Source organism: Homo sapiens, chromosome 12 (assembly GCF_000001405.40).
Source record: "Homo sapiens chromosome 12, GRCh38.p14 Primary Assembly".
Lineage (NCBI taxonomy): Eukaryota > Metazoa > Chordata > Mammalia > Primates > Hominidae > Homo > Homo sapiens.
The window spans coordinates 40,319,982-40,342,669 of record NC_000012.12 but is presented as its reverse complement, the minus strand read 5'-3'; the positions used below and the strand labels follow the sequence as shown (position 1 = coordinate 40,342,669).

Here is a 22,688-nt window from a genome sequence, read left to right as displayed (position 1 = left end):
ACAGAACTGCTTTGGGGAAGAAAAAGTTTGGTGATGGTAGTAGTAGTAGCAGTATTAGCAGGAGTGGGAGTTATTGTTATTTAAAATTGGAGGCAGAGTTTAGGGCTGAGATAATCAGAAGTGCTCTAACAATAATAAATAGAGTAATGATAAAGAGAAAATCTAGGTTACAGCCAGAAAAAAAAAAAAAGCTTACAAAGTACTAAGCAGCCTGTGAGAAGAGTAGGCAGAAAAGAAAAGATTAGGCCCTGGGTTTCTGACATGATCTGTCTCCATATTTATGTTACCACCATTCAATATTGGAGATTAAAAGGGATCAGGAAGAATTGTGTGGCTTGGTATGAAGAATCAGATGGATATTACATTTTAGACAGGTTTTCAGCAAAACCAGGAAGTCAGATACTGAAAATGAAAGGCCATGAGTCTGAACCAAGGTGAACTCAGCTGGCTGCTAGCTGGCCTAGACCACAGAGTGAAGAAGCAGAGCTCAAGTACAAGCGCACAGCCCACAGGGACCCGAGAGATCCACTGTCCAATTAAGCAGACAAGGCTTCAACAACAGATTTTCACCCCATGAACAGAAAGACTGGGTTGGGAGATGCAGAAAGAAGAAACTGAGTGGTCCAGTCCACCTTCATGTCCCATGACAAAAATGAGCAGATCTTTCAAGAGAAAATCACTGTCCCATGCCCACTTTTTCCAGGTGGAAATATATCAGGTCTATGGAATTTCATCCTTTAAGACTGTTTTTCCAAACCTCTCATTGACAATATTTGCTATTCATGGCTCTGTTGTTTTGTTTTGACTTTTTTAATAGTGAAGATTAAATAAGCTTCTTCATGTTAGAGTTGCATATGGTTTAGGAGAGACTATAGAATTTAAAGCCAAATATCTCTGGATCTGGTTCTCATTTAGACTGAATTCTTATCTTGGCCAATTACTGAGTGATATTCTGCAAGTTACATAATCTCCCTGAGCCTCAGTTTTCTCATTTGGCAAATGAGAAACTAATAGCTAACTTCCAGCCCTGGCATGAGGATAAGAGATCTTGTCTCTAATATACGTGGCACTGGGCCTGACGCACAGCAGGTACTCAAAAAATGATAATTAGTCTTATTATTATTGAACAACACAGAGACACTCTCAGCCAGAACATACACTTTGAAGTGTTTATGAGAATACACAGTCTACTTCTAAAATGTAACTATCCAAAACAAAAGAGTATATATGTATTTGGAGCAAAAATAAAACCAGGCATTGGAATCTGGGGCCATTTGCTTATCTAAGTACAAAAGTTGAGTGCGCAGGAAACGAACTAGAACCTTTTCCCTAGTGAGATATCCTGTAGCATATTTTCTTCTGTGCCAGGCACGGTGATTTAATTGAGTTGCAATCAGCAAGATGATGTATAGCCACCTGTAATTTTACTTACAAATAACTAACTATATAAAGTTTCCCTAAAGATAGAGTGTTCCCCACACTCCAAACAAATGCCAACCCCTAAATGATTTACTTCCTGCTCAAACTGATGTCTGAGACAACATGTCTGTACAGAGCACTGGCCCCATAACTGCTTTTCAGGATTGGGAACTAAGAAAGGGAGGTAAGATTCCACAGGGTAGACAGTGATGTGTACAGAAACCCTCAGTAGGGTCACGGCCAGCCCCCTGTACTCAAACATGTATATATTTCTGCAGCAAAATGTATGCATATTCACACTGAGCATGAGAAATAAAGATTGTAATAAGCAACAAGTCAGCTTGCTTAGGTTTTGACACCAAATTAGTCATTTTTTAAAAAATCTTGGGATTTTCAGAGTTCTTTGGGTTTCAGAATTATGAAAAAGAATTTGTGGACCTGAATTTGATTTGCCTCACAAGTGCCAACAATACCTAGACTAAAGTTTTTGCTGTTACTTTTTATGACCTCTAGAGTATCTAAAGAATCTACAAATCTAACTTTAAAACATATAACTTGATATCAAACATTCTCTTCTTTTTATTCAGTTTTTGCCCTGAAAAATTACATCAATTGTTTTTTTCCTACAAAATACAATGATAAAAATCACAATGTGATGCTTGCATTTTTTCACAAAATAAACCTCTGTTCACAATGTGATAGACTCTGTTTTCCTTTTGACTCTTCTGAACTCACATCTGAGGTCAGTGGTTATCCATCCTGAAGATAGAATTATGAGACAGACCTGATCACCTACCTGGTGTGCCCTCTGATGTTTTTATCCCCATTCTACAGCAGTACTGAGCAATGCCGTAGTCAGCAATCTTTGCAATGATGGCAGCATTGGGATACAGTGTGAAAAGCAGCACATTGTGGGGTTTCAGGTCTCGGTATATAATCATGGCTGAGTGGAGGTATCTGCCAGAAAATGCACAGGAAATCTTATTCAAATGTGATTACATTATAATAATTTTTGTCCTAATTTCCTTAAATATAAATGTCCACTATGTCAAGCATCAAAAATTCTGTGCTCACTTTGTCCCTTAAAGTTAAGAGATATTGTAGAAGGAAATCAAAACATATAAGTCTAATATTACACAGCAAAGTTATGCTTTAAAAAAGGGTCAAATCTGATAAGTGAATGATTTCAATTTTAAGACAAATCTATCTCAGGCAAAGACCCAATTTTTGGAGACTTTTCTTTTGTATATGTGAACAATTACTTAAAGGCAATTCTGAATTCTCTCAATGATCATATGAATATTTTAACTATTTCAAAATGTAAGTATGTTAAATAAGAATTGATGGGATTTTGTTGTACTTGCCATTTATTTAATAGTTTTGATTTTCCTAAAACCACATAGAGGTTTAGCTCAGCTTTAAAATTTTTCTCTATTCTATTTATCATTGATATTTATTTTTCTGACTAAAATGTTTCCCAATGTTTGGAAAATATTTTCTACTTTTTGGATGAAAACAAATGAAAATATAAGACTTTTGCTTGCTATTAGTCTCTTCTTCTGTTTGAGTATATAATTTACCATAAACCTAATCATGTTAGATATTAAGGTTAAAAAAGAAAATTTGGGGCTAAGAGTTAGAATGAATACAATTTTGTCTTGGAAAAGATGACGGGTAATATTAAAGTCCAACCTTCTGGAGACTGACCCACGCAATCACGAGCAACTAGAGTTGGACATTTCAGGCAAAGAGTAAAAGATAGTTAATATAAAAAAACAGTGTAAAGTTTTCATCTCAACCAGGTCTTATCCATTCTGGAAACATGGTCAAAGAGCTTACCGCATCTCAGCTACTAATGTTATTATCACATTAGATGTCTATAAAATTCTGATTTCCAACTCTGTCTTCTCTGCCCCATGATGTCAAATTGACTACAGCATTTCATGTGATGTCACAGGTATGTTATAACCTATGTTGAAAATAATTTCTCACAAGACTTAATGGAGTTAAATTTAAATCCTTTGCTTATTCGTGACTGTTGGTTTTGGCTCACATTATATCAATTAATAGTTACTCCATCACCTAGCACCAATCACTTCTGGAAGGATTAGAAGCAGAGCAGCAACGATACCCTGAACTTTCAATTGTATGAGGGCCTGGAGAGTACATATTATTTAACTGCATCAACTAATACAGCTGAAGATTCTCTCTCTTCCAGGATGTAGTCGGGACATTTGACATTAGGCCCATTCATTTCAATATACCTATTTTGGGCTGAAAAAAATAAGATAAATACACTAATGAAGTTGACCTTCACAGTAAGTAATGGGCTTGAAAGAAAAATTTACCAAGGGATTACTGAAAGGCCATTAGGTACTCTTCCCCTGCTGAAGAGAAAAGCTGAGAGATTAAGAATAAAAAAGCTAAAGCCAAGTCATACATCATTGAATAGTATCCAAATCCTTTATAAGACATGCCTCTTTAAGTATATTTATAGAACACAGACTCTTTCAGAATACTTTCCAAAGGCTAAAAAGAAATAGTTAAGCTTAATTTGAAATAATGTCAGTGGCAAAGAGATAATATCTTGGTTAGTTAAAATGTTCAATTATAGAATTTAATCTTAAGAAGTGCAGTTCTAATAGCTTTTAATAGACTAGCAAAATAGCTTTTGAAATAATAAGTAAAGATTTTTCCTTCCTGATAATAATTTAGCCATAATTTATGCATTGTGTAACCATGACTATTGTCAAATATTTTATTAAAACAAACTGGTTTATATTAAGTTAAACAGTCATTCTTTGATTGTGATTATTGTAAGAGTTGCTAAGAGACTTCTTTCTTCATAGCTTAAAGTAAACTTTATCTGATTCTGAATAGAATTATTCCAAAAATAGAATGCATTCATTTATTTGACAAATATGTACTAGGTATCTATGAGGGCCAGTCATTTAGTATACAAAGCCATCTTTGTATCTCTGCTCCCTTGAGGGTGTCACAATCCAGAAGGATTGTGCTCAGACAGTCCTCAAACAGGTGTTTAATCAAGATTCCAGAAATATGTAAGTACCACGTGCTAGGGAAGCACAGAGGGAGAAAAACACTGAGGTAAAGACAGCAAAGTTGACTCTCCTACTAGACTGTAAGCTTTCAACCTCAAGAACAATATAATATCTAGCTTTCCCTCTTTAGCACCTAAGTCAATGTCTTGCACAGAGTGTCTGCAAGAAACACAAGTTGGAGAAGCTAACACTTCATGACACACTTGAGCTTCATAGTAGAGATGGTTTGTGAAGAAATTCTTAAGGAAAATGAGCTCTCTAGGCAGACAACTTGGTGGAAAGAGAGGAATAACAAATACAATGATGGACAGACATGAGCATAACTGAAAATTCAAGCCTGTCATCACGGCTAGAATGCAGTGTGGGCAGTGGGGTGGCAGGGGCCGCAAAGGGAAGCAAGAGGCATACAGAAAGATCTTTGATGCTATGCCAAGAAGTTTGGATGCACTTTGCAGATAATTGAGAACTGTCAAGGAATTGCAAGCATAAACAGATTTTTATTTTAGAAAAGAAATTCTGATAATTCCCTGGACATACTGAACCAAGACAGCAGGAGTGGCATAAAAATAAATGAATTGACTAAAAAGATAATGTAAAATAGAGTCAAGGACCTGGTGGACAAATGCATACTTGCTTTCGGGGGAAGGTGTTTGGCCTGGATGGGACAAGTATCCTGGCCTGGCAACTGTGGGATATAACAGAAATAACAGATTCATAGTGGGTGATGTACCAAGGCAGTACATTCCATTTTGAAGATATTGAAACACAGAAACATACAGAAAATGCAGTTGACTGTATTTTCATAAGTTTTATAGAATTATGATAAAGAGTTCAAACGAAGTGGATTGAATTGGAGAAGTAAGCTAACAGTTAAAAGCAAGATGGAGGAAGAGAGAGCATGTAACGTGAAGAAAGTTCTTGTATGTCACTCTAAACAGCTCCAGCATTTAAGGGACTCCAAAGGAGCATGATTTTATTTCCTGTGCTGAAACATACTTGGAAAAATAAACCTTAATGCTGAGTTTTTAAAATATACTTAGTGCTGGTAGAAGATTGATAGCTACTGAAATCTACTAGCCTTTTGTGATACAAAATCCAGAAAGCTTTTCTGGCATTATGCTAAGAACAAATTAGGCAAATTATTTTAAAATATGCTGACATTTCATTTACTTCATCAGAAACTGCTGGATTTGTTATTTAAAGTAAGGTTTCAGAGAACTAGAATAAGTCATTTTAGAGATAAGGTGTTTCGAACAGTGTTAAAAAATAGCAATTCTTCACTTTATAAATAAACACTTTGGGGATTTGTGGAAGAATTAGGGAAAAACTAGAACCTAGAGTTAGTTAAATGAAGGAAAGAGGGCACTGAAATACAGGAGACTATTCTGCACTTTACCTAGATTAATGTAACCCAAGATTCCCCCTGGTGTTCAAAAGCAGAAACATCAACTCAAATCCAAATCCCTGCACCCTGTTTCATTTCATAATCTGTACAGTTTTCAGTAGTTTCTGGACCCTTTCAGGAAGGAACATTTCTGGATACTACCTAAAAGGCATATTCATAGCATTTCAGAAGAGAAAGAAGAGAAGGAAAGTTGCATACACTGCTTGGCTTCTATGCCCCAGGCACTGTTTTCCTTCTTTCCTCCTTTCTCCCCCTTCCCCTACTGTCAACACAGTAATTCTGAAGGCTTACTATTTTAGGAGCTAGAGATACAATGGCAAACAAGACGAAAAGTCCCTTCTTTCATGGTACTTAGATTCTGATGGCAAGACAGACAATAAATAAGTTTTTAAAAAATGAAAACATAAAGAATCCTAGGCAGCAATAGTCCTATAGGGGCTGGAGAGACAAAGGGTCGTTGCGGACATCCTCTCTGCTGAGAGTCCTAAATGAAAGGATTCAGAAAGATTCAGATAATCCTTTATAATAAGTAGAGAGCACATCTGGGAGTCAGACATTCCTGAGTGAAATCAACAGCAGATATAAAGCCTCTGGTATCTGCAAGGAACCTCAGGGATGGGAGTGGCTGAGCACTGTACCCAAGAAATAAGGCAGGGGAGGGGTAATAACAGGAACAAGTCCTGATCCAACTTTCATGTTAGAAAAATCACTCCAGAGGCTGGGTGAGGAATGGGACTATCATGAGACAGAGGTAGAAGCAGGGGACCAGTAGGCAATGAGAGATGATACTGGCTCAGATTTAGACGTTAGTGAGAGAAATTGTTAGAAGCATTAAGATATATTTTGGTGGCAGAGCTGAAAAGATTTGCTGAAGGATTAGCTGTGAAATGAGAGAGGAAGAAAGGAATGTAAGGTGACTCTCAGGTGTAACAGGGTGACTGGGGTTGGGGAGCAATGGCAGAGGGGACATCAAGAGTTTCATCTGGAATGTCTCCAATTATTACAGAAGTCATCATAATTTTATGCATTAAATATTAGTCATGGTTCACAGACTATTTAAAAAATGGGAATCAGAGATATAAAATCACAGTTACTAAATGTGTGGAATAGTGATGAATCCCAGGCCTTTTGTCTTCAAAGACCACAGCCTTTCCACTCCAGTGTGCTCCCTCTCCAAAGCTTGCTCTGGATGCAGGGTTAGGTGTGCCTCTGAGACATGTGAGATGGTCATGCCGAAGAATCCAACATGAATCACTCTAGTCCCCTTGAGAAGTATGGACTCATCTTTCCTCATTGGAATCATGTAATTGACACTTACTTTGATACTGTGAAGCCTAACTTATACATTTTTATAGAAGGCAGATCAGTACAGGGTTAAGATGATGGGTTCTAGAGCAGAACTTGTGGGTTCAAAGTCTATTACTACTTGCTATGAGGTTCTGCATGGTTTCCATACTCTTATTTTCTGAAATTACAAAATTTGATCAGGGAAATGGTAGTTTTCATCCAAATTGTTTATAAATTGTTACTGGGGCACAGTGTTACTGGGAAGTGTTCTCAGAACCTGAGAGCAAGTCTGGATCACACTTGTCATGCACTGAATAGAAAACAACATGACCTACTTACCTCAAACCATCAGCTACGTGGAGTGCAATCCTGTGCTGTAGGGTTCTAGTGAGGCTGGCTTTGTCCTGCTGAAGCAGGCGATCCAAGGAACCCTTGGAGGCTAACTCCATCACCAACATCCGGGGACGAATCCCAGCTGCCAGCAAAGATATCAAACTGGGGTGGTGGAGGTGGCAAAGCACCACAAGCTCCTGCAAAAGTCCAAAATCATGTAAGAGTAATTCAACATCAGGTTTTACCCACGTATCTCCTTCTTTAAAGTGCATCAACAGGCTGAACATGGATTTCTCTGTATGACTGGATCATAGCAAACTTTCCATTTCTTCTCTGAGTTTTTTTTCCCGTATTTTCAGTAATAAAAAGCTGGTTTTGAAACTACAGTTGACCTATGGACAACATGGGATTGAAGTGCATGAGTCCACATATACATAAATTTTCTTCCACCTCTGCCACTCTTGAGACAGCAAGACCAACCTTTCCTCTACCTCCCCCTCCTCAGCCCACTCAATGTGAAGATGATGAGGGTGAAGACCTTTATAATGATCCACTTCTACTTAACGAAGATTAAATATATTTCTCTTCATTATGATTTTTTAAATAAAATACTCTTTTCTCTAGCTTGCTTTATGGTAAGAATGGAGTATATAATACAGATAACATATAAAACATGTGTTAATCAAGTGTTTATGTTATCAGTAAAGCTTCCAGTCAACAGTGGGCTATCAGTGGTTCAGTTTTTTGGGGAGGTCAAAAGTTATATGCAAATTTGTGACTGCACAAGGGGTCAGCACCCCAACCTTTATGTTTTTCAAGGGTCAACTGTACTGTCAGAATTAAATTTTTAAGTTCTATTTTTCCTTTGGCTCTGTTTTTATCAGACATTTAATGCAGAAACAGTGCACACAGTGTAGTCATACTAACAGGCCACGTCAAACTCATCTACTGAATTCTGGTTAGCCACAGTATCCTTCTCAGCCCAGGATTCTCTATAGCCACTACTAATCAGCTGCAACTGGCATATGAGGTAAAACCTGCTTATAATCTCTGGTTTAACGACTACAAAAGTTTACCGAGGATAATGCTCAATTTTAAAAAAATACATATCATCCCCTCCTGAAAACTCTCTAATGACTTCCCATTTCCCTTAGATGAAAATCCCATCTACTTCCACGGCCTCAGCACCTGATCTGATCATGCCCCAGGCCTTCCAGACCTTCTCGTCTCCCCCTCCTCTTCAATCACCACCCTTCAGCCACATTGGCATTCATTCAATCCCAAGCTGTGCCCAGCTTCTTCCCATCATAGGGTCTTTGCCTGTGCTGACCCCTTTCCCTAGAAATCCCTCCACCCTTCACATGGCTGAAGTCTTGCCATTCAGATCTTATCTCAAATATTACCACATCCTCAGAGAGGCCCGCCATGGGCCACCCTTACTAAGGCAATCCCTGGCTGCAACAATCTCTCTGCAATTCAAAAAAAGTCCGAGATATCATTTTGGCTTGGACAGAGGGATTGCCTTAGTAAGGGTGGCCCATGGCAGGCCACTCCGAAGATGTGGTAGTATTTGAGCTAAGATCCAATGGCAACAACCCTCTCTGTGGCCCACATCATGTGAGACTTCACAGCCTCTTTTATGACATTGTTGGGCTTGAATTCCAGATTCGCTTTATACTGTATATTGCACTTTACTCTGAAACTGTAACTCTGTTGAAATGTATAGCTTGTGTGATGTTAAATTGATTCATGCTTTAAACTGTGATTGCTGCAGAAGCACTGCTTCTTAACAACCAGCTTCAAAGATGTGGAGTAGCGGCGCCCACTGATTTATCAGGAAACTGAAACATGGAGAATTCTGCAAGCTGAAGAAGAAAGGCTGAACACCCTGAGAGGGGATTTTCCAAGAACAAAGCTTCAGACTGTGATCATATTTGCTTAGTAGATAAAATCTTTTTTTTAATGCCCATGTCAGTTGGTTAGAACTGATGAGAAGGAGTTAAGTTAGCTCTGCTTGTTTTCATAGGCACAGACAGAGGTCTAATCCAAATTTTCTATCCTGGAAAAGCAACTCACTAATTGCAAAGAAAAAACAGCGTAATAGTACAGTATAATATAGATCTGCCCCATGACTACTGGTAGAATGACCGTCAAATGTCATTTTTCTTTCTTTTTGTTGTTGTCTTTTTCTTTTTTTTTTTTTAAGAGAAGAAGCACATTATGCACACCCCTTTTTTTTTAATTTCTTCCACCATTCCCTTAGTTTGCCTCCCTGCTTATACACTAATTGGCTCTGTAGACATTTTTAATGTACTAATTTCCACCATAGCTCCCCAAACACATGGTGTAAAATTTGAAATGCATGCTGACAGCAAGGCCAAAAAATCAATTTATATAAGAAATTACCTACACATTAAAAGAGATTATGTCAGATTTGATTCACAGATAAGCTTCTATATATAAAATGTTCAATTTGGTTCTAGAACTACAGTGTGACTGTTGTTACTAATAATTAAAATGCCCCCAGGATATTTTGTACTCACATGAAATCTTCTATTACTCAGAGTACTTAAAATATTATAACTATGTATTTTTTAAAGGTTACAAAATTTACTTAGTGTAGCCACTAAGAATTTTTTGTAATAAATCAAGGGAAAAGTAAGGATATATAGATTCCAAAAATACAGTTGAGTTCTGGTATAAGATGGAAGAATTCACATTTAATTTTACTTCCTCTCTCACCCTGTTTCTATCTCTCATTCCTAATGTCAATAAAGACTCAAAAAAAGAAAGAAATCCCCAGTAGAATCCAAACAAGAGAGAATACAGGAATAACCACTGTTAACTAACAGTGTATATTCCCCTTCCTTTCCTCCTTAGAGTACTGAGTTACTCAACCCTCACCCATGCAGCCCCTGGACTTTAGTTCAGGGGGAAGTGACCCCAACATCAGCCTCTCAGAAAAGGTGGGAATATTCTAAGTAACAGCACCCTCAGGGCCACAGTGATCAGTTTGGTAACAAAGGCCTAAAGCCAATTAGCACAAAGCATTGCCCTGAACATAGTGCTTGTTGAGAAAAGCACAGATGACTCACTGGGGCTGAGAGACATCTATTTATTTAATGGGTTATTATGTAGGCCATTTGATTCCTTTGAAATACAAGTACTCAAAAGAGGTACCCTCTTTCCTTCTGTACTTGGAATAAGTACTCGTGAAGCCTGGAACCAGTTTATCACAATGGGAAAAGCCATTCTGAAGGAATTAAACCAATATACCAAGGTTAAAGGAATTTTAAAGAAAATTGGCCAGAGTGACTGGATTAAACCAATCCTATGGTGAGTACCTCCCATGACTTTTTTTATGGATGAAAAGTGAACATAATTTATCTGATAAACTCATTGCTGCAAGTTATTGATCTATGAAGAGATGTAGAACAGAGTCTGAAGTATCTAGAACAAGCTTGTCCAACTTGTGGCCCACAGGTCGCATGTGGCCCAGGATGGCTTTGAATGTGGCCCAACCCAAATTCATAAACTTTCTTAAAACATTATGAGATTTTTTTTTTGTAATTTTTTTAAGCTCATCAGCTATCATTAGTGTTAGTGTATTTTATATATGGCCCAAGGCAATTCTTCTTCCAATACGGCCCAGGGAAGCCAAAAGATTGGACACCCTGATCTAGATACTCTGCAGCAGATTAAGAAGCAAAAAAAATAATGCAGCACTAAGCAGAGGGGAAACAATTTCAAGTCCAGCATCTAGAGAGCAAAGCCTGCCTTCCTTTGGCAGGTATGGTCTCAGCAGTGATCCCTGCCCATGTAACCTAAAGAACAGAGTATCCCTTTGCAGTATGCAGCCCTTAAAAGTCTATGGTCTAACCTTCTTGTTCAGAAAGTGGTAACTTGAACAAGCAAACCTACATGAATGTGAAGAATGCCCATTCTAGTTACCTTTAATAATCAATACAGTCCTTCTTTAACAATCAATAGAGTACTTACTTCATACGAAGTCACCCAAAACTACTCAATTTGGAAAACTGACAAGATAAAAGAGAAAGATCAAGATGAACCCACAGAGCAAATAACCTCAGAGAAAAAAGCAATAATGCAAGTAATACAAAAAAAAATTCTAATTGACATGAACAGAAACACCTATGGACATTTTATCCAAAAACATGGCTACAAAGGAACAACCAGAGGGGATGGAAAGAATTGCTGGAAATGGAAAATATGATTATCAAAACAAAATTCACCAGAAAGCTAAATAATAGATGATGCAATTCTAAAAAATATTAGAAACCTGTAAGAGACAGTCAAGTAAGTAACACAAATTATAGATAAAACTTGAAGAGGGAACTCAAACATGGATGATAGACCCAAAAGGCTTGTCATCTAACATATACTCTTGGAGCAATGATAAGCAATAATGAATCATAAGTAACTAGATATAGGCTCCAGAGAAGCAGAGCCTTGACTGGGTTTAGCTTACTACTATATATATATCATATGTCCCATCACCTAACCTGGTACATAGTAGTTGTCAATAAAAATGATTAATAAATGTTAGGGAGGAAATAATAAATAATAGAAGAGAATACACAGAAGACAATTTTTCACAAAATAATGAATTAGATGGAATGAAAAACAACCTACACACAAACACATACTTGTAAAGGTTCAGAACACTGAAAACAAATGAAATTCAAAAGGTCAAATTTTCAGTTTTCAAAATGAAATTAAAGGTATCCTAGATAGGAGCAAACATCTGACTGACTGCAGACTTTTCATTAGCAACAGTGGGCACTAAAAATCAATGGAATTTTCTTCAAATTTTGAAGAAAATTGTTTCAAGCCTAGATTCCTAAAAAATAAAGTGTGATGACATATCCACCACATGGGAGGGCAAAACTAAGATATTTTTAACATGTAAGGACTGAAAACATTTACCTCACAAACACCTTTTCTTAAAAAAATTACTCGAAGATATTCTTCAACAAAAACTAAGGACAATCCAACCAAGAGAATGGATGGAATCCAAGAAATATTGAGAGTAATCAAAGAGGGCGAGGAAACTAACTCATAGATTAATCACTGCACAAGCAGCCTAGAAATCCATCTCTCCTGTTTAGAGCAGTAAGTCATGTGCTGAATGAGGAATGTCTTCAAGAAGAAAGTAGATTCTGTTATACAAACTGTATGATTAAGAACTTAGAAACACTTGAAGTCATGATGAAAATATATATCTTTTCCTGAAGTACGTTTTTTAAAAATATATGTATATAATCAGAAAACCTCAAAAAGCTACATAAAATAAATCACCACTGGTACTCAGAAGGTTAAGGTGAGAGGATCACTTGAGGCCAGGAGTTCCAGACCAGCCTGGTCAACCTAATGAGACTCCATCTCTAAAAACAAATTTTTTTTTAAATCAGGGTAAAAATGTGACCAAATTAAAATATGCCTTTATTTTTATAAATTGATGATAAATACATAACAATAGAGAATCCATTTGACTTTGATATTTGGAATGTTACTATTCTATTAGTAAAAGAAGTTAGTGACAGAAGGTTGCATTTCTTTATCTAGAAGTAGAAATATTTTGGTTCTGTACAAATAAAAAAATATATAAATGGCATTTATTGGTTTTGTTCTCAGAACCAAACTATAGACAAAATGTGAACAATTTAATTATGAGTACAGACCAGAATATAAATGTTATAAACTTTCACTACATAAAAATAATAGAATAAATTAAAGAACTTGAGAAGGTGATGGGAAAAGGAGAAAGAATAGCGTTAATTTTCCTCATCTCACATAGCAAGGAGTCAGTCCATGCTGTCTAGAGTTGGTATACTAAAAAAACAAAAGTTTTGAAAATCATTCCAAGTTATAATTGTTACTATATCAGGAAAATTAATGCAACCAATTTTAAGTTTTAGGAAGTGGACAGGGACAGGGAGTAGGAAATAGGATAAGCATGCTAACTTTCTCCATCTTTGTAGCAAGTAATCAATAGCAGTTCTTATTAAAGTGGATAAATCCAGAAAAGAGAGGTGCAAGCTTATCAGTGAGAGTTTTAGTTTAAGATTTCTAACCTTCAATCAAATTAGCAATGTGAGATCATGCATTAAACTTCTTCTTTCACCCTGAACACACAGAAGTCATGTTCAATAAAAATAAAAATCATTCTCTCCCTAGACCAGAAAAGTAAAAGATAAATACTCTGAAGAAAACAGAAGGCGAAGTCAGGAGCTTGCTAGGCTTCAAGGTCTGGAAGCAGGTGGAGGCAGCTAGGAGTCTGACTACTGTGGAGTATCAGGAACAATAATATGGCACTGAAAAGTCCCAAGTTTCTACATTTCTAACAATCTCCTAGGTAATGCCTGGCTGCTTGTCCATGGAGCACATTTTGAACAGCAAGGTTCTAAAGTAAAAAGAGGAGTGTAAGTGAGTCTTACAAAAAGTTTTACAACACACTATGTATCACGATTATAAGGATTCTCAGATACAGTGTTTTGTTTCTCAACAGGAGAAATAACACAAAACTTTCTACTCCACAACGAAAAGACAAACTAGGATTGCATAATTAAACTTAAGTAGAAATGTGGTCATTATTTTGCATTTTCACAACTGTATGCAAAATAAGAGTTCCAGTAGATTAATAATGTGCAATTTAATATAATTATATTATTGAATTTCTTACTTGTCTTAACAGCCTGAGTGATGTATGTTTATTAAAAATCTTCACAGCCACTTCTTCTCCTTCATAGGCTGCTCGGTAAACTGATCCAAAACTGCCATCACCTTTTGAAAAGAAAATACAAAGCACTTAAATTAAGCTGTCCAAGCGAAAAAAACTAAATAAATTATATCTGTTGTAATTATATCTGTTGTAAATTTGAATAGAAACCTGACCTACTTGTTTCATTGAATCAAATCTCCTTTAACATTTCCTCTTCCTTCTACTCCAAGAAAGATATATGTAAAGATTTTGTCCTTAACCTTCCCGTCTTCCCTCTACACATACCCTGCTCAATTATGTCATCCACTTCTGTGACTTCATCTATCCCTTTAATGTAGAGAATTTTCACATTTTCACTTATAGCCACCTCCTAAGTGCTTTCCTACACTTCCAACTTTGTGTTGGTGATTTCACTGGTATGCCCTTCCAACTCAATCACAGCCTATCAAAAGCCACATTTATTACCTTTTCTCCTAACTAGTTTTTATTCTACCTTCCATATAGCTGATGATAACAAGACAAAAAGTCTTTTTGAGGCCCTTCTGGAGTTAAAATTGAAGAATTATTTTAACTCTTGCTGTGGTCTAACCCCACGGCTAACAGTGGCAGTCCACTGTGTAGCCTCATTTACATTCCCTTCTTCTCCATTTCCACTACCACCACACCCATTTGGTGGCCTCAGAGCTTTCTGCTGAGTCCCAGGAGGCCTTCTGAGTTCCTTACTTCCAACTCATTCTCTCTCTCTTGCAAAATTAATTTTCCTATCATTCCACTTTGATTGTGTCACTCTCCTGTTCAGAAACAAATTATTCCGCGTTGCCTACTAAATCAAATCTAAATTCAGCTCCATAGTCATATAGTGGCCCCTAAATCCTTTTAAAGTTCTCCTCTTGTTCTACTTCTCATTCTCAAGGCTGGAGTTCAGTAGCTTTCCCTGCCCCAGTCCTGGCTGAATAGTACATCTGAGGAGCTTTTTAAAACGCTAATGTCTGGGTTCAAAGATTTTGATCTAATTAGTCCCAGGAGGAAATGGTCATTAGATTTTTTTCTTCTTTTAATTCTGTACTTAGTAGAATTAGTAATGAGCAGGTAAGGTTGAGAACAAGTGCTCTAGACAAACCGCAATAGCCAAAATTTCCTGAGCATGCTTTGTACCTTCAGGCCTCCATACCCTTGAAGAGCTCTGCTACTCCATCATCTCAATCCCCAAGGAGTTTGGAGGCCTGCCTCACAAACTGACCATGATCAGCCCCGTGGACTGTTACTCTCCACCGACATTTAGCAAATCCTGTTTGTACAATATTTATGGTTCTCATATAGTGCCTTGAAATGTAGTCACTTGATGGATATAAGTGAATACACACAAAACAGTCTATAAGGAAATATAGTAATTTTCAAGTGGTGAAATTACACATCTATGGAAAGCCTCTACCTATTTATTTTTTATATGTCTATAATGAGCATATATAATTATATTTTATGCTCAGAGAGAGTATATTAAAATAATTAACTTATTTGAGCATGTCTTGTATTTCTATTAGATTGTAAATATGTTAAAAGTATTATTTGCATCTTATCAGTCTTGGTATTCTCTCATTCTATCCCTCCAGTACTTAATATTTGACTTTTAAAAACCATTAGTTAGGATTGTTGGTATTGAGAGAGCTTCAGAGGGAACTGTTACATACTGGAATCAGAAATAGAATCGGGTAAACAGAAGAGGGAAAAGAGAAAGAAAGCAAGTAGAGGGGGAAGGGAGAGAATCGGTCGGAGAGATGGAAACATATAGATGCATCTTGTTCTGCCTCCCCTCAATCTGGACAACTATCAACAACAAAGAAAAATTGCAATGCAGCATAGAGAAGAAACATACTCTAGGGAGATACATCCAAATTTCAAGTTGGAGTAGGGACTTCTAGTTGTTTTTTTTTTCTTTTTTTTTTTCTTTTTTTTTTTGAGACAGAGTCTCGCTCTGTCGCCCGGGCTGGAGTGCAGTGGCGCGATCTCGGCTCACTGCAAGCTCCGCCTCCCAGGTTCATGCCATTTTCCTGACTCAGCCTCCCGAGTAGCTGGGACTACAGCCGCCCACACCACCACGCCTGGCTAATTTTTTGTATTTTTAGTAGAGATGGGGTTTCACCGTGTTAGCCAGGATGGTCTCGATCTCCTGACCTCATGATCCGCCCATCTCGGCCTCCCAAAGTGTTGAGATTACAGGCATGAGCCACTGCGCCCGGCAGAGATTTCTAATTTTTTAAAGCCCTTCTCTATTTGAGAATCGCCGCTGCATTAATATGGAGTATGGATTGTCATGTCTTTCAGGTGACTGAAAACAAAAATAAAGTTAAGGACTACTATTATGTATTTGTGACATCTAGGTTGGAAAGAAAATTGAAGGCAAGGAAATTTTCCTAACCCCTCAAATCACACCACTGAAGTGGAAATACCTGTCTTGGCTCTCCAGAAAAATAAATAGCTCCACAAAGAGGAAATGTACCCTGTGGCTTCTCAGACGCATGAACAGAATCCCATACATTTATATTTTAAAATATATTCACAAAACAAGTCTATTCATATCTATTAAGGTGGGTCGTATTACTCACTGCATAATAGTTACTGCTATCTTGGGAAAAAGAGTTACCAAAAGCCTGAATGCATTGCTGCCCTACAAATAAAAATGGAAAGAGGGAAAATTGAGAGAGGCATAACCTTCTCCAGATTACTCTAATATAAAGATGCTGGAGTCGCTACCTGTAAAATGTTTTTAGAAGGATACACCTAATTTGTTTAAATCACTGGTATTCAACCCCACCCCTTATCTTTGGCAACATCCGGAGACATTTTTGATTGTCACATCTGAGGGAAGGGGAGATACTACTGACATCTAGTGGATAGACAGAGATGCTGCCAAACATTCTGCAGTGCACAGGATGACCCTCGATAAGAAAGAGTTAGTTATCCAAGCCAAAATGGCAACAGCTCAAAGACTGAGAAACTCCTATCTAGACTGCTTTCTGTAAATGAACATGGGATTTATGGATTTATGGGACATGGGTCTAGAGAAGGGAGAGTAATCACAAACATTTTCCTATATGGGTAGCTAAACAGACTTTGCTTTTTTGTTTTTTGTTTTGTTTTGTTTTGAGACGCTCTGTCGCCTAGGCTGGAGTGCAGTGGCACAACCTCGGCTCACTGCAACCTCCGCCTCCCAGGTTCAAGCAATTCTCTGCCTCAGCCTCCCGAGTAGCTGAGATTACAGATGCCCACCACCACACCCAGTTAATTTTTTTGTATTTTTAGTAGAGATGAGGTTTCACCATCTTGGTCAGGCTGGTCTTCAACTCCTGACCTCGTGATACACCCACCTCGGCCTCCCAAAGTGCTGGGATTACAGGAGTGAGCTACTACACCTGGCCAACTAAACAGACTTTGTAAATGACGTTTCCACATACACTACTCAAAACGTGTCCATTCATCTGAAACACATTTTAATGCAGGAAAAAGAAATATTTTAGGGATCTGTGTCTGACAGTTTGGGATTTCTTCAGAGGAAGGATGCACCATGTCTGGTACTTTCCTGTATACCTTGAAGTCTGGGGTTAAGATGTAGGATTCAGCAAGGACAATTCAGCATTTTATGTTAACCCACTATTACTAATACATTAACTTCCTGAGTTCCAAAGCATTTAAATTCAACCTAAACTTCCCAATCAATGCCAATAAGAGGGGTATAAAGGAGTTTATTTAGCTTTAAATATCATGTCTCAAATTTTGGACAACTTTTTGCTAATAATATTATGTCCTGACTGACAGATCTTAGGCATTATTTCTGGGGTAATTTGATTAAAATTAAATGTATACACACAACAACAACAAAAACTAAACAAAGTAAGGTCAAAATTGTCTTCAAATGCTTTATATTAAATCAATCTAATGCATTTCATAGTTGTCCCAATGACTCTCAGGAATGTTTAAAACTTGAGTATGTCAGCCTACAGTTAATAATAACATACTGTATACTTGTAAATTGCTATGAGAGTAGATTTTAATAGTTCTCACCACATAAATATTTGAGATAATGTATATGTTAAATAGCTAAACTTCTCCATTCCACAACATATACATATATCAAAACATCATGTTGTACACCATAAATATATACAATTTTTACTTGTCAATTAAAAAAATTTGTACAAAGTATATCTTTTTTTAAAAATGATAACCGAGGAGCCAGACAGATCACAGCATCGCAGGTCTTGTAAAGACATTAGCTTTTATTCTGAGAGACATGAGAAACCACACATGTAATCTACAGAATGACATACAGTAACATATGTTGACTGTTTCTTTCCCAAAGTAGTTATAATGCATACACTTTTCATCTTCTGAAGTGTATGAGCATGTTTTAAAAACATCTTTTAGGCCCAAAAATCCATGTGCAGGAAGTCAAGATACAAATGAGAATATTGAAACATGGTTACCATGACTTCACCTTTTCTCAATGAGCACCTAAACATGCTACATGAATTCAATGATTTCCATCATACTCTACTGAAAATCACTGATTGAATTCACGGAACCAAGAAATGTAAATTGTTCAGCATATCAAAAAAAAAAAAAAAAGTATTTGAGTATGTCACCATGTAACACTTTTGACTTTAATTTCAAGGCTTTTAATGAATATTTCTATGAGAATTCAGCATTGTCACACTGAGTCATAAAACCCCTGCTATGGCTACACTGAGGTGTGCTTCCTTTACCTATTCTGTCATTTTATAAAATATGGCTGCTTCACTTAACTCACCTGAAAACTGTCTTATTTGCCTCCCATATCCCTGGCAATTAAGGCAAATACAAAGATATATTTCATAAATATTTCTGCTTCCATGATAATCTCATCCTCATCTTGATCCTAGTCTACATGATTATGTGCAAAACAAATTCCAGATCTGTAATATTATATTCCTTTAAAATATATCATTCCAAATACAAAAATTATAACAAATATATGAAGACAGTAAAATCTATGACAATATAATTATGAAATCTATTTTCTAAATTATAAGGAGAAAATTACATCCTAATTTTTATTCTCAAATTAACAAAAAGAATTACCTAGGAGAAACTCTGGAGCTTGTTCAAATTCCAACTCATCATTATTCAACATAATATTTCTAGGCAGGTCAGCCAAAATCAAGTCAGGGGCAATCTGAGATATTGGAATGGTGAGCCTTGGTTGATCTGGATTTACTAAGAGATCTCCTGAGAAGTAATAAAACATTTTTTAAATAAAAACAACATTTAAGGAGATACATAAATTTGTGGTTTTGATGTGAAAAAATAATGGAATATTTTCTATAATTTCTAATCCCTCCCTTTCTAACCAATCCTATATTTCTCTAGGAAATTTGAGAACATTTTAAAGATTCACTTAGTATCTATCTACTTGGAATTTTAAAAACTTATTCCTACGTTCACTTGTAGAATTCTGAACTGCTGCAGACTACCAGACATCTGACTAGAAAGTTATCTACTCTCTGCTTTTGCCACATTCATGAAGCTGCAGCTGTTATTATATGGCAGACATGTTGGTAAATTAGGTCCATGTATTGTCTATTTGAATCTTTATAACAGTTCTATGAGATAGATGTGGTTGGTATTCCGGTTTCACAGATGAGGTTATGTTGCTCAATAAGCCAGCATTCAAACCCTCAAATCAACATTTTCTGAATCTAGAATACAAGATTTTATTGGTAATAAATATAATTCAGTTTTCTGAACTGTCCCTATAATTGAATATACTATTTTTCAACTCATCCCTTATGGATAAGAATATTTACATTTATTAAAAGTCACTTCATAAGTATTGAAGGATCACTTAAAAGCATTTGTAAGTTGTATCAAAACATACCTTCCTCTGCTTTCTTCATCAAGTCATCAAGTAAGATTTTTTGATGTTCTTCACCATCATTAAAACTATATAATGCCCATTTCTTCAACAGAGTTTCTCCTTCACCACAAATATCAATCTCCAGCAACCCAGGAAACCATTCTTCCATGAGAGAATCAATGTGGTCCACAACTTGGCCCAAAAGAATACAGCCTACATGATTCAAAACAGAGCTCAACACCTTGTCTAAACCTCATACTGTCGCAAAGCTTTAAGGTAAAGTTTTTTTTTTTTTTAAGTTTAAATTTCTTTAGTGTTGCAATTGAAAACATTCAAATTGATTTCCTTACCTTTTCTACAAGAAGGAACTGTAATTTTTAAGAAACTCTCTGGATGATTGTCTAAGACTTCAGATCCTACCAGACAATAAGCTTCAGGAGACCAATTTAAGTAAATGCCTTGTCGCCAATACATTCTGTTTGGGCGAAGTGCTCGTTCTAAAAAATGGAGCCATTAATTATTAACTGCTTCCTAAGTTAAAGGGAAAAAATCTACTGCACACAACACAAGTGATTGTAATACAGATCTATTCATTTTGAAATAAAGTATTGGGTTGTTACTGATATGAGTCCTCATCCATATCTATTAAATATTTTATCCACAACTTTACAATAAAAAGAGTTAAATCCCCTGCACATTAAGATCCATTTCAGGTTGATGCTGTTAAGCAGTTTAATATGCTCGACAGATGAAGAAAGAAAATCATAAATAAATCCTCATAATTTTTAAAAAGAAGTTTTTGATCATGCTAAACGCAAAACTTTCTGAACTTTTTAATGCAATGTAACTACCTATATGTTGATTAATTCCAATCAAGGTAAGGTTTATTTTGGAAACCAGTAACACCTGTGTAAAGCTAATTTTAATCCCCAAAATGATATTTTCCCTTTGGAGTACCAAAATGTCTCTATTTATTTTAGAAGAAAGAGTTAGCATTATAAACACCGGATTTGCTCTTTTTTTGTAAATGTCTTAGTGGCTGTGCAACAGAAAAGAGATAATTACAGTCCCTACAATGTAATCACAGTCAAGATCTGAGTGAGCACCTAAGGAATTTTCTTCCTGACAAATTAGATGAGGTTATATGTGCTTGTGTGTCTTTAGATTGCCTACTCCAAGGTTTTATGAGCTTATTTTCTAATTCTTCAGCTGCCTTCCAAACAAGTAAACTCTGAGAAAATGGCATATTACTTTTCATATGCCATCTCCCTAATTTCTCTAAAAATTAATAAGTCTAAATTAATAGTCTCTAAAAATCTAATAAGTCTTCATTAGATACTTACCTCTCCCTGAAAGCATGTAAGGTGAAATCTCAAGTAATCGATTGATTAATCTTGACCAAAATCCCATTGGAAAATAAGGCATTTCATATAGTCGGATGATAATTTCAGAGTTCTCACAATGGGGAAGCTCTATCACAGGCCTGTGGTCAGACAAACTAAAGGCAAAAGGACACTATGGTTATACAGCCTCACAAAACACCCAACCTTGTTGAGCAAATGATTTTACTGCTTAAAGTCAATGAAGGTAATCATTCCAAACAATTGTAATCTTTTTGTAACATTGTTTCACTACATATTTTTCCTACACCAAAAATTCAGTGGTCAATAACCAATTCAAATGCATGCTCAGATGTAGATGCATGAAATATTTTCGGTAATCCCTGTGCACTAATACATAAATTATTACAATTAGTTATGCATAGACAAATGTAATCTTATATAAATCCTGAAAAATACATGTCCTAGAAAAAAAGTGTATATTTATTTTTAAAATTGGCTGCATCCATCAATCAATGTAATTTGCACATTTCAACATCATATTACTTTATAAATTTCCCAGTTGCTTAGAGCAGTAGGAAAAATTTCCATAGTATAGGCTAAAACATAGGCATCCATTGTGATGCCATAAATGCTTTTAAAATTCTGTTGAAAACTCACTATCTTCTCAGAACTTGCTTAATAAACTCTCTCAGTGTTGTTTAAGAACACACACATACACAAACACAGACACACACACACATTAATCTCCACTATTTACCTTTCTTAAATAATTTCAACAGTGATAAGCCAACTAGTAACTATACACATAAAGTAAGTGATTTACTATATTGTTAAAGTGTCAGATGCAATGTTTTATTCCAAAATAAATGATACATGTCAGTAGGAGGTTTACACTAGAAGCAAAATATATTTATTTATTTAATACATCTATTATAGACTACAGTTAGTTTGACAATTAAAAGAATAGATAGTGAATTTCCATGTAGCAATTAATTTTTTAAGGTTTTCTTTACCTGCTTGGAACCAGCAAATATTCTTCTCCTATTGGCAAAGCAATCTGGAATTTTTCTAGGAGCTTAAAATACTGTGACATGTAGTTCTTTGGAAATTTCCTTTTTTTTGAAAGAAATTTTTCCACATCTCTACGCGAAATAATGCCCTTAGGGTGTTTTGGACAACCTTCCACTTTCACTGTCAAAATCTGAAA

The 22,688-nt window shown here is 36.2% G+C and overlaps 1 protein-coding gene across 9 annotated transcripts in view; it reads right to left on the bottom strand.

Annotated features, from left to right (window-relative positions):
• Positions 1–22,688, bottom strand: part of LRRK2 (leucine rich repeat kinase 2) — a 144,289-nt gene that overhangs the window by 26,616 nt on the left and 94,985 nt on the right. For 8 of the 9 annotated variants that reach the window (XR_007063041.1, NM_198578.4, XM_005268629.5 and 5 more), the window contains 8 exons: positions 22,495–22,682; positions 21,482–21,636; positions 20,489–20,635; positions 20,160–20,351; positions 19,364–19,510; positions 14,210–14,310; positions 7,513–7,703; positions 2,216–2,376 (listed from right to left, as the gene is read on the bottom strand). Coding sequence is in view for 8 of the 9 variants with exons in the window: in NM_198578.4 (NP_940980.4) it covers positions 2,216–2,376; positions 7,513–7,703; positions 14,210–14,310; positions 19,364–19,510; positions 20,160–20,351; positions 20,489–20,635; positions 21,482–21,636; positions 22,495–22,682 (1,282 nt within the window). In the remaining variant the exon portion in view is untranslated. Of the gene's footprint in view, positions 1–2,215; positions 2,377–7,512; positions 7,704–14,209; positions 14,311–19,363; positions 19,511–20,159; positions 20,352–20,488; positions 20,636–21,481; positions 21,637–22,494; positions 22,683–22,688 lie in introns of those variants that run through there. The other variant, XM_011537881.4, reaches the window with a different exon arrangement.